At 35.9% G+C, this 12,348-nt stretch overlaps 1 protein-coding gene across 13 annotated transcripts in view; it reads left to right on the forward strand.

Annotated features, from left to right (window-relative positions):
* The window catches only part of DNAH6 (dynein axonemal heavy chain 6), a 360,018-nt gene that overhangs the window by 58,143 nt on the left and 289,527 nt on the right, over positions 1-12,348 (forward strand). For 9 of the 13 annotated variants that reach the window (XM_011532650.4, XM_011532649.3, XM_006711956.3 and 6 more), the window contains exons 2-4: positions 105-337; positions 7,851-8,024; positions 11,190-11,452. In XM_011532650.4, the coding sequence (XP_011530952.1) occupies positions 113-337; positions 7,851-8,024; positions 11,190-11,452 (662 nt within the window). In that variant the 5' untranslated portion in view covers positions 105-112. Of the gene's footprint in view, positions 1-104; positions 338-7,850; positions 8,025-9,894; positions 10,080-11,189; positions 11,453-12,348 lie in introns of those variants that run through there. The other 4 variants (XM_011532654.1, XM_047443589.1, XM_011532655.2 and 1 more) reach the window with 4 other exon arrangements.

Below are 12,348 nucleotides of genomic sequence, written 5' to 3' on the forward strand. Positions count from 1 at the left end.
GCGAATTCAACTCTTCCTAGTCCTTAAGTCCCTCTCCAGTAGCCTCCTTCCCCAATCCTTTTGATCTACTTTTCATTTTCTTTTTCCTCACCTATTCTTTTCAGGAGTAAGGATGACTTTTCGGGCCACAGATAGTGAATTTGACCTGACAAATATTGAAGAGTATGCCGAAAATTCTGCACTTTCAAGACTGAATAATATAAAAGCCAAACAAAGAGTGAGTTATGTGACATCCACAGAAAATGAATCTGATACACAAATCCTAACGTTTAGGCACATTACAAAAGCTCAGGAGAAGACAAGAAAACGACAGCAGCCTATAAAACTAGAGCCTTTGGTAAGTTCAAAAACCATTGTTTTAGCCTCTGTAGCCACAGAGGAAGTTGTAAAATTGCTTTGGAGGATAGAAGTCATGTCCAGACTCTGAACTGACAAAGAAGGAATGAAAAGCTAAAAGATAATAACTGCTTATGTAGTTGTAAATACGGTAAATATTTATTAAACAAATATTAAGTTCTAGGCACTGTTTAAGTTGAAGGATACAGTGGTGAACAAAGTTTTCAGGCAGATAAGTCCTCTCTAGGATTATGTACAATACAGATACTTAACTATGTATGCTATTAGGCACTTTTAGATATTAGGGTACCATTTAACACTGAGAAGTTTAGCAAATGTTATATTTAGTTATATAGTTTTATTATTTTCAAAGTACATGCCTTTGTATTTAAAAAATTGTGTGCATGTTGAAAATACTTAATTTTTAGAAACCATTTATGCCCTTGGATAATTATAAACGCATGTAAAGAGCAGTGAAAGCGAAAAAATTAAAAAGTAAAAGTTGTCCTCTCCACCATTAGACGTTAGCTACATCTATTTCTCTCTGACGTATTTGCCTTCACTTGACAAAAGTGTATCACTAACCGTTGATGATTAAAGTTGTTTAATTTGTCACCAATGCCATCTACTCATGTATATTAAAAGTTTGTTATGTGCGTACTCTGTGCCAGGGTTTGAGCCATGCTCTGAGGAATGAACAAAGCAAATGAACAAATATAAATGAACAAAATAAACAAATATAAATGAACAAAAATGAACAAAGCAGACAAGATTCCTGTTGACATTCTAGTAATTCTAAATAAGCAGACTGAACAATTTCACCTAGTGATAGTAACTATTTAAAAAATAAGCCAAACGCATGGGCTCATGCCTGTAATCTTAGCACTTTGGGAGGCAAAGGGAGAGGGTCATTGAGCCCAGGAGGTAGAGGCTGCAGTAAGCTGTGCTTATACCACTGCACTCCAGCCTGGGTGACAGAGTGAGATCCTATCTCTAAAAAAAGAAAAGAAAAGAGCACATGGACTATGGTAGAGACTCAGAAGAGACTGCTTTAGATTGGGTGACTAGAAAGGTCTCTCTGAGGAGATTTTATCTGAACAAGTCTCAGCCAACAGCCTGTATCAACTGACAGATATCTGCAATTTAGGCAGAGCTCAGTGGGGACAGCTTGCCTCTACTCCACTGGGCACCAGCTGAGGCATTGATGCTGTCCCCACTGAGCTCTGCCTAAATTACAGAATTTTTAGCAAAATAAATGTTAGTTTTTAAGTTACTAAGTTTGAGGCAGTATGTTATATACTAACATAACTTGCACAGTATAAATAATACATGAATAAAATAATTCATACAATATTAAAAAATAACAAGGAAAAAAGTGAAAATGACCTGAAGTTTCACCATGCAGAGAGAAAGTAGCTTAATAGTCTAGTGACTAATTTCACACCTGTGGGTGTCTGCAGTTTGACTTCTTTTTATAGAGTTGGTAAGAATGTATTTTTGTTATTGACTTCCCTCCCCTCAACTGCCTTCTCCTCTCCCTTTCCCTTCCCCTTCTTCTTCCTATTCTCCTCTTCCCCCCTTCTTTCCCCTCCTCTTCCTTCTTCTTTTCTTCCTCCTCTCTCTCTTCCCTTACCCCTCCTTCTCCTACTCTCTTTCTTTTCTACTCTTCTTCTTTTACATTTTTTCCTTACCTCCAAATTCCCCAATCTCTGACCCCCTTTTCTATGCCATCTAACATTGATGACATCTAGTATATGTCTTTTCTTGCCTTTGTCCATGCTGAAACAATTTTATACAAATTTATTTGTAATTTTGTAATTTTACAAATGTATGAAACTTACAATTTGTAATTGTGTGTATTTGTAATATTTTCATGAAAATATTACAAATAAATACAATACTCTCCATCTAGCTTTTTACACTTAGTGGTGGCATAGTATCTGATTGTATGAACATTCCATAATTTACTAAATCATTCTCCTCTTTTGAGACATTCAAGTTGTTTTGCCAGTATTTCAAATGGTACAGTAAAATTGTATTATCCTTTTGTATTGGTGCTTATATTCCTATGAGACAGGGCCCTGTGAGTGGTGTTGTGGAGTTGATGAAAAAGTTACATATATGTATAATTGTATTTAATTGTATATTAATTTCCATATAATTATATTTAACATACAATTTTACTTAATTCACACATATTTTACCTGGAAACCAGTTTCTCAATCCAATGTACACATGTTGCCTAAATTAAATTGCATTTTCACCCTTAACCTAAGTTATACTATAATCTCTTCCAACTTTTTGTTGCCTGATCTGCATAGGTGAAACTGCACCTTCACACAGGATGCAGCTAGTGTTTTTATGTGTAACTTTTTTAACGTTTATTTTAGATTCAGGGGTATATGTACAGATTTGTTACATAGGTAAACTGAGGTCATGGGGGTTTGTTGCACAGATTATTTCATCTCTCAGGTACTAAGTGTAGTACACAATAGTTGTTTTTTTCTGTTCCTCTCCCTCCTCACACCCTCCTCCCTCAAGTAGACTCCAGGGTCTCTTGTACCTCTCTTTTTGTTCATGTGTTGTCATCATTTGGTTTTCACTTATAAGTGAGAAAATGTGATATTTGGTTTTCTGTTGCCAAGGATGATGACCTCAAGCTCCATCCATGTTCCTCTGAGGAACATGATCTTGTTCTTTTTTATGGCTGTGTAGTATTTCATGGTGTATATATACCACATTTTCTTTATCCAGTCTACCAATAATGGGCATTTAGACTGATTCCATGTCTTTGCTATTGTGAATAGTGCTGCAATGAACATACACATGCATATGTCATTATGATAGATCAATTTATATTCCTTTGGGTATATACCCAGTAGTGGGATTACTGGCTCGAATGGGAGTTCTGCTTTTAGCTATTTGGGGAGTCACCATGCTACTTTCCACAATGGTTGTTATTTTTTATTTTAATTTTTTTATTATTTGTCATATTACAAATAAATACAATACTCTCCATCTAGCTTTTTACACTTAATGGTGGCATAGTATCTGATTGTATGAATATTCCATAATTTACTTTTCTATTTTTTTTAATTTTTCAGTAATAGCCATTCTGACTGGTATGAGATGGTATCTCATTGTGGTTTTGATTTGCGTTTCTCTAATGACCAGTGATATTGAGCTTTTTTTCATATGCTTGTTCGCTATGTCTATGTCTTTTTTTGAAAAGTGTCTGTTCATGTCCTTTGCCCACTTTTTAATGGGTTTGTTTGTGGGTTTTTTTGTAGATTTGTTTGTTTCTTGTAGATTCTGGATATTAGACCTTCAAAGATGCATAGCTTACAAATATTTTCTTCCATTCTGTAGGTTGTTTTTTCACTCTGTTGATAGTTTCTTTAGCTATGCAGAAGTTCTTAAGTTTAATTAGATCCCATTTGTCAATTTTTGATTTTGTTGCAATTGCTTTTGGTATCTTTGTCATGAAATCTTTGCCAATTCCTACGTTCAGAATGGTATTGCCTACGTTGTCTTCCAGGGGTTTTATAGTTTGGGGTTTTACATTTATGTCTTTAATCCATCTTGAGTTAATTTTTGTATATGGTGTAAGGAAAGGGTCCATTTTTAATCTTCTGCATATGGGTAGCCAGTTATCCCAGTACCATTTATTGAATAGGGAGTCCTTTCTCTATTGCTTGTTTTTGTCAGCTTTGTCAAAGATGACATGGTTGTACATGTGCGGCCTTATTTTTGGGCTCTTTATTCTGTTCTGTTGGTCTACATGTCTGTTTTTGTACCAGTACCATGTTGTTTTGGTTACTGTAGCCCTGTAGTATAGTTTGAAGTCAGGTAACATGATGCCTCCAGTGTTCTTCTTTATGCTTGGGATTGCCTTGGCTATTCAGCCTCCTTTTTGGTTCCATATGAATTTTAAGATAGTTTTTTCTAGTTCTGTGAAGAATGTCATTTGTGTTTGATAGGAATAGCCTTATATCTGTAAATTGCTTTGCACAGTATGGCGATTGTAATGATACTGATTCTTCCTATCACGGAGAGCATGGAATGTTTTTTCATTTGTTTGTGTCATCTCTGATTCCTTTGAGCAGTGCTTTGTAATTTTCATTGTAGAGAACTTACACCTCCCTGGTTAAAATATTCCTAGGTATTTTAGTCTTTTTTATGGCAATTGTGAATCGGATTGGGTTTCTTATTTGGCTCTTGGCTTGACTGCTGTTGGTGTACAGGAATGCTAGTAATTTTGGTACATTAATTTTTGTATCTTGAAACTTTGCTGAAATTGTTTATCAGCTGAAGAAGCTTTTGGGCAGACTATGGGGTTTTCTAGATATAGAATCATGTCATCTGCAAACAGGGATAGTTTGACTTCCTCTCTTCCTATTTTGATGCCCCTTATTTCTTTCTCTTGCCTGATTGCTCTGGACAGGACTTCCAATACTATGTAGAATAGGAGTGGTGAGAGAGGGCATCCTTATCTTGTGCCGGTTTTCAAGAGGAATGCTTCCAGCTTTTAACAATTGAGTGTGATGTTGGCTGTGAGTAATATATGGCTGTTATTTTGAGGTATGTTTCTTTGATACCTAGTTTATTGAGTGTTCAACATGAAGGAATATTGTATTCTATCAAAAGCTTTTTCTGGATCTGGTGAGATAATCATGTTTTTTTTGTCTTTAGTTCTGTTTCTGTGATGAATCACATTTATTGATTTGCATATGTTGAAACAAACTTGCATCTCAGGGATAAAGCCTAATTGATCATGATGGATTAGTTTTTTATGTGCTTCTGGATTCGATTTGCAAGCATTTTGTTGAGGATTCTTGCATCAATGTTTGTCAAGGATGTTGGCCTGAAGTTTTCTTTTGTGTGTGTGTGTCTCTGGCAAGTTTTCACATCAGGATGATGCTGGCCTCATAAAATGAGTTAGGGAAGAGTCCCCCTTCCTCATTTTTTTTAGAATAGTTTCAGTAGGAATGGTACCAGCTCTTCTTTGCATATCTGGTAGAATTTGGCTGTGAATCCATCTGGTCATTGCTAGGCTATTTATTACTGACTTGAGTTCGGAGCTCATTATTGGTCTGTTCAGAGAATCAGTTTCTTCCTGGTTCAATCTTGGGAGGGTGTATGTGTCCAGGAATTTATCCATCCCCTCTAGGTTTTCTAGTTTATGTGCATATGGTATTCATAGTAATCACTTGTGGTTATTTGTATTTCTGTGGGGTAAGCAATAATATCCCTTTTGTCATTTCTGAATGTGTTTATTTGGATCTTTTCTCTTTCCTTCTTTATTAATCTAGCTATTAATGGCCTATCTGTCTTATTAATGTCTTCAAAAAACCAACTCCTGGATTTTTTGATCTTTTCCATTTTTTTTATTTCTCAATATCCTTCAGTTCTGCTCTGATTTTGGTTCTTTCTTGTCTTCTGCTACTTTGGGGTTGGTTTGCTGTCACTTTTCTAGTTCTTTAAGTTGTGATTGGAGGTTGTTAATTTGAGATCTTTCTAATTTTTTATATGGGCATTTAGTGCTATAAATTTCCCTCTTAACACTGCCTTAACTGTGTCCCAGAGATTCTAGTATGTTGTATCTTTGTTCTTATTAGTTTCAAATAACTTTTTAATTTCTGCCTTAACTTCATTATTTACCCAAAATTCTTTCAGGAGCAGGTTGTTTATTTTCCATGTAATTGCATAGTTTTGAGCAATTTTAGTAGTCTTGATTTCTGTTTTTATTGCACTGTGGTCTAAGAGTGTGTTTGGTATAATTTCAGTTCTTTTGCATTTACTGAGGATTGTTTTATGTCTGATCATGTGGTTGACTTTAGAAGATGTGGCAATGAGAAGAATGTATATTCTGCTGTTTTGGGGTGGAGAGTTCTGTAGAGGTCTATCATATTCATTTGGTTCAATGTTGAGTTCAGGTCCTTAATATCTGTGTTAATTTTCTGACTTGATGATCTGTCTAATACTGTCAATGGAGTGTTGAAGTCTCCAACTATTGTTCTTTGGGAGCTAAGTCACTTTGTAGGTCTCTAAGAACTTGCTTTGTGAATCTGGGTGCTCCTGTGTTGCATGCATATATATTTAGGATAGTTAGGTCTTCTTGAATTGAACCCTTCACCATTATGTAATGCCCTTTTTTGTCTTTTTTTTTTTTAATTTTTGCTGGTTTAAAGTCTGTTTTGTCTGAAATTAGGATTGCAACCCCTGCTTTTTTCTGTTTCCCATTTGCTTGGTAGATTTTCCTCCATCCCTTTTCTTGAGTCCCTGGGTGTTACTGCATGTGAGATGGGTCTCTTTAAGACAGCATATCATTGGGTCTTGTTTTTTTAATCCAACTTGCCAAACAGGTTATTTAGCCCATTTACATTCAAGGTTAGTGTTGATATGTGTGGATTTAGTCCTGTCATTGTGTTGTTAGCTGTTTATTACACTGGCTTGTTTGTGTGGTTGCTTTAAAGTGTCACTGGTCTATATACTTAAGTGTGTTTTTGTATTGGCTGGTAATAGACTTTTCTTTTTGTATTTAGTGCCTTTCTTCAAGATCTCTTGTAAGGCAGATCTGGTGGTAATGAAATCCCTCAACATCTGCATATTTGTTTTCCTTATTAATTTCAGTAGGTTTTAGAGAAGGGTTTTCCAAATGTGCATTAATCTTAACATCATTTTTATAGATCATTGTTTGGTCTCTGTGAAGTCACCCTGTGTAAACAGACATTTTTTCTTCTTGTTCTCAACTTGTGATCCTGTTCTCTATTCCTATTTAGCACTATTACATAACTTAGCTCTCCTTCATCTTTGTAGCAACAGCTAGCCTTTTCCTTTCTTCAGTGAGTGGCTCAAAAGGGATTTTTATCTAAAAACAAGTGCAATGTAACTGAAAAGTTAACTGCTGTTTCCTTTACTTAATCTCAAGCCTTTTTTTCTTATCCCAGTATATGAGAGACTAGCAATTATGATAAACTCATAATGCTTAGTAACAAAAAGCCATTATAATGAATTCTTCACTTTATTATGTTAAAAGCTGGGGTTTTATTGCCATAATTTTCAGTTGAATAGCCTAAGATAATGCCACCTATTTTTTTTAGATCTTCAATAAGTTATGGCTATGAGAAGTGGTTGATGATTTTGATTTTGGTGGGAGAATTCTGCACTTCTTCCCATAGTAGCAGTATTAGTAAATGATGGGGGTTTGTAATGGATAATTAGGGAGTATATGATTTCATACTTCTGAGCCTTTTCTGTTGTAATTTATTCTTCTAAGTATTCATTGATAATTTCAAGTATAAAATTAATGGAAGCTAGGTAGAAAAGTCTTACTCAAGCAATAGGCCAGGGACAGGCAATGGTGGTAGTTAACTATTAGGACTGCATCTTTGATAGGAAATTAGTCCAAGGAGATCAATTTCCAACAGGAGAAAGAGTCCAAAGGTAGTGAAAAATAAAACAAGTTTATACGAATGTTAATAAAAATTAACATGTCTCTCTATTTCCCAAAGCCAGTGCTAAAAGTCTACCAAGATCATAAGCAGCCAGAATACATACATGAACAGAACCGATTTCAGTTAATGACTGCAGGAATCATTAAACGTCCAGTAAGCATAGCAAAAAAAAGTTTTGCCACATCATCTACTCAGTTTCTTGAGCATCAAGATGCTGTGAAAAAAATGCAGGTATAATATTAAAATACTTAATTGATTCTTTTAACTTAATTTTGTTTTGTATAGCATTGCTAGCATACTTTTAACTCATAAGAATAGAAGCAAAGTCATTTTCTATAAGGTTGCATAATGAGTTTGGGAAATATAACATTTCTTCATCCTATTTAAGGAAAACTCTTACAGTGGAAGAAAATCATAAAGGAAACTTTCACCATCTGTACAGTGCCTTCTGACCTTCTTTTGTATGATAAAGAAGATATAATAGTATTTTGAATGTTATTATAACTTTTTTGAAATTTTCATCATTTTTACCAAAAATGGTAATCTTTGAAGACCCTGGTGAAGAGCAATAAAGTGAGACAAAGCCAGCTAGCAAGACAATTTGTGTAGCTGGTGAGAGTTGTAGAGCGAGGAAGTTGCCTTGAAAGGCATAAAGAAATGGTAGCTCAGGGAAGAAATCACCAGAGCTTGCCTTTAAATGAATATCTCTAGATAACTGAAGAAAAAAAAACAATAAGGGGAGAAAATATGAAAGGCATACCTACAGTAAAGATACCAGTAGAGCCAAGATTTCTCTGAGGTTTTGGTTGAGAGGATAACTTTGACAGTCACACACTGAGTGCTGGTTTGGGTCCAACCATTGGATTAGAACTGCTAGACGTGCACAGTTGAGGACAAGGTCTGTCCTCAAGGATTTCAGAGTCTGGAGGTACGTAGGTGGACAAGTGAACACTCAGCACAGTGGGGTATAAGAGCTCTCCTTAGTTGTTTAAGGTACAAAATAATGAAAAACTAAATAAAAGGGACTTTTACACCTGGCCATCGGGGGGCCAGTCAGTGAATAAAAAGCCACCTTTGGGAGTTGCACTAAGCTGAGAAGAATGAGTGGAAAGTTAATGGGATAGATAAGATGAGAGAGGTGGGAGCTCTAGGAGAAGCTAGATGGACAGGAGCTTATTTTGGGTTTGGGTGAGATCATCCTGAAAGAATGAAATCATATGATGAACTAGATGGAATTATAAAGCTTCAGTTACTATGGTGTCTGTGAAGTGGAGCCAGAGGGAGCTCTTTCTCCAGAAAAGATCTGAGCCAGGAAAGATTTAATTGCCTGTAAATTAATTCATTTGGCATAAAGAGGGCTTCAAAAATTTGAATTTAAAGAAAAGGAGAGAACGTGTATAGACATCTGGGATAAAAGTGGGGCTGAAAAGGAATATTAGGTTGTGAGCTATGCTTCCTGGTTGTAGCTGTCACTCAGTGAAGAACTCAGTAAAGAGTTAGGAATTAAAGAGAAATATGAAAAATGGGATGTTTTACATAAAATAAGAAAGGTATTTATTCTGAGAAAAAGGTAATTTTTTCAGATATTGATTTATCTGAATGAGTTTCAAATAGAAATGCAACAAGGAGGATTTCCTGGGAGGTAAAGGAAGGCAGGCAGGAAGGAAAGTTGGAGGCCTCTGTTAATTAAGGAAGAAATTGACTTATCGAATCAGACGGGGCATCCATCAGGGAGGAGTACTGCATTGTACAGTTTATGAATAAATGCTTTCTTTATTTCCCACCCCCAAATCTGAACCTATGTTACTGCTGAAGAACACAGCAGAACACAGTGATTAACCTCCTCCATGGGAGGAAAATGTGAATCACATTTTCCCACTGAGTTACATAATGAGAAATTAGGGCTCAGAGGAAAATATCTAACCCTGTTATGGAAGAAGTCTTCCACTTAGAATGCAGTAAGACTTTTTAAAGACTAGAACAAATAAAATAAATGCATTTTCTGTTAAAACAGTAACACTTTAGTCTCATAAAAATACTAAAGTGGACTAGCCCTCATTGAAACATTGAGATAAGGTGATGTGTGTTTTCTCTGGTTCAGGTTTGGCCTATTCATTCTCAGAAGAGAACAGTGTTATTGCTGCCATCCCTGGCCAAGAAGTCAAAGACACACATTTTACCTTTTACGTTCAAAGATGTGTTTCCTTCAGCTCTGAACTTGCTAGGTGTTGTCAAACTGCTATTGGACAAAGTATATTTAATCAGAGTTGGGGTATAATGTTCCCTGTGAGTACAAATTTTCTGGAGAAGTTGTTCCACAGAGCTTGTAGTAATACATCCCTGCAGAAATGGCAGCCTCTGCCAGCTATGTTAATAGGCAATAAAATACTCATGCGTATATTTACAATAGTTATTCAACAAAGCAGTTCTACTATGGTGACTCTTATCTTAAAGCCAGTTACTCCTATACTATCAGAGAGGCAAGGTGATGACCTTTGGAGTTAGTGTCAAATTTCTTCAAACACAGTGATTAACCTCCTCCATGGGAGGAACAGATATGGGTGATGCCACCCAAGTTTTTTGGGGGGTGTGAGTGGCACTGAGAGCACAGACAGTGAAGCCCAGAGACTAGAGCAAAGCTGGAGTGTGTGGGCATGGCACAGTGGGACTCAGCCTTGCTGCTCCAAGTGTAGTCCATGGTCAGCAGGATCCAAACCCCTGAAAGCAGGTTAGAAAGGCAGAATCTCAGGTTCCACCCTAGCTGTACTGAATCAAAATTTGCATTTTAATAAGAAACTCTGGTAATTCATTGCACATTTAAAGTTTGAGAAGCACTGGTCTAAAAAACAGCCGATATTAGTTGATAAAATCAATGCTTCTCTAAGGCTATCGCATAGTGATTCCCAACACTCAATATAACCGCCCCTCATATTCACAAAGAAGTAAAGTTATTATGAGTTACAATAACAGCTGTCCAAGACTCCACTCACTGAAGAGCATCAAGGTGGTCAGAACAGAGGGGGAGGTTGGGAGGAGAGGTCCCAGAAAAGATAGATGCAGAGTAACTAAGCAAGGAGGGAAGAGGGCTCCCATGGACATCAAAGACCTGGTAATATTTTGATGTAATAAACATTGAGTTAAAGGAGAGGAGAAGGCAATGGAAGCTGAAACTGGGACTGCTTTGTGGTAAAAGGATGCGTATCTGGATAGGGAGTACTGAGAAGGAATATGACTGCCTAACAATAGTTTGAAAATTTTCAGTGCCAAAATGCTTGCCTTTGAGCCCTAGACATCTCATGCAATATGGCAATTAGTCCTTGAAGGTAATATTTTGTTGCTCTTGTGTGTATGTGTGCAAAGACTCATTTTTTTTTTTCAAAAATTGGCTTTGTTTAGATTCATCGGCCCTATGTTGAGGTGTTCTCTCCCTCTCCTCCTAAACTGCCACATACTGGTATTGGAAAAAGAGGTCTCTTTGGGACTAGATCTTCAGCTTACCCTAAGTACACTTTTCACGACCGAGAAGAAGTTGTTAAAGCCAACATTCGTGATCCCTTGCAAATCATTAAAATAATACGTGAAAATGAACATCTTGGATTTCTTTATATGATCCCTGCAGTGCCAAGATCATCCATTGAATATGATACATATAATCTAAAGTGAGTTATTTTTTATGATGCAATTTAACATAAAAATTACAAATAAGATTTCACATATTATTTATAATTGATTGGATATTAATAATAACAATATCAAATATAATTTTGGTTATCATTCAATGATAAATGAATCCTAATCACAACAATTTTGTATTTTTTCATTTATCTTCCCTTTATCTATTTAGAAACATTAACTATCTTACCTGCACTACTGAGCTTCTCATATATTTATGTAATGTTATACCATATATTTTTAATCAGTATTACATATGTATTTTTGATACTTTATGATTACTGAGAAAAGAGGATGGCAACATATAAAAAGCAGATGATGCACGATTTGTTTTTCATGTTATTTCACCTTTGCTTTATAGAGTAGAAATAAGGATTTTTTTAATAAAATGAGCTTGATAACTTAGGGTATTCATATAAATGAATAATATCCACACACTTTCTGTGTGTTGTTGCCGCACATTTGTTGTTGATATAATTGGAAGTCACATAATTGTGAGTCTGCAAGTTGCTTTGAAGTTCAGCACAACAGATAATAGTAGGACTTAAAGATGATACTGGCTTTCCTCTGTTATTTAGTTGGGCTGACAGCAGTTCTTGAGATGGTCTTTTCTTGATGGTGATAATAGTTTAGCTTCACCACAAAATTCATTGAGCTACCTTCCCCATTCATGGCTCTCTTATTCTCCCTTATTCAGCACCATAGTTTCAACTGAGAAGATGACACTGAGGGCAGCTCTCCTGCTGCAGAAAATGGGTAGAGAAGAAAAGCTTTTTAATCAAAATTTAAAATGACAGATGTGTTGTAAATCTTAAAGAGCTTAACAGCAGTGAACAATAACTTGTAGGAAGGACAGAAATGCTTATGAAAATGCAATCGTTCA

The sequence above is a fragment of the Homo sapiens genome, chromosome 2 (genome assembly GCF_000001405.40).
Source record: "Homo sapiens chromosome 2, GRCh38.p14 Primary Assembly".
In the NCBI taxonomy this organism is placed as follows: domain Eukaryota; kingdom Metazoa; phylum Chordata; class Mammalia; order Primates; family Hominidae; genus Homo; species Homo sapiens.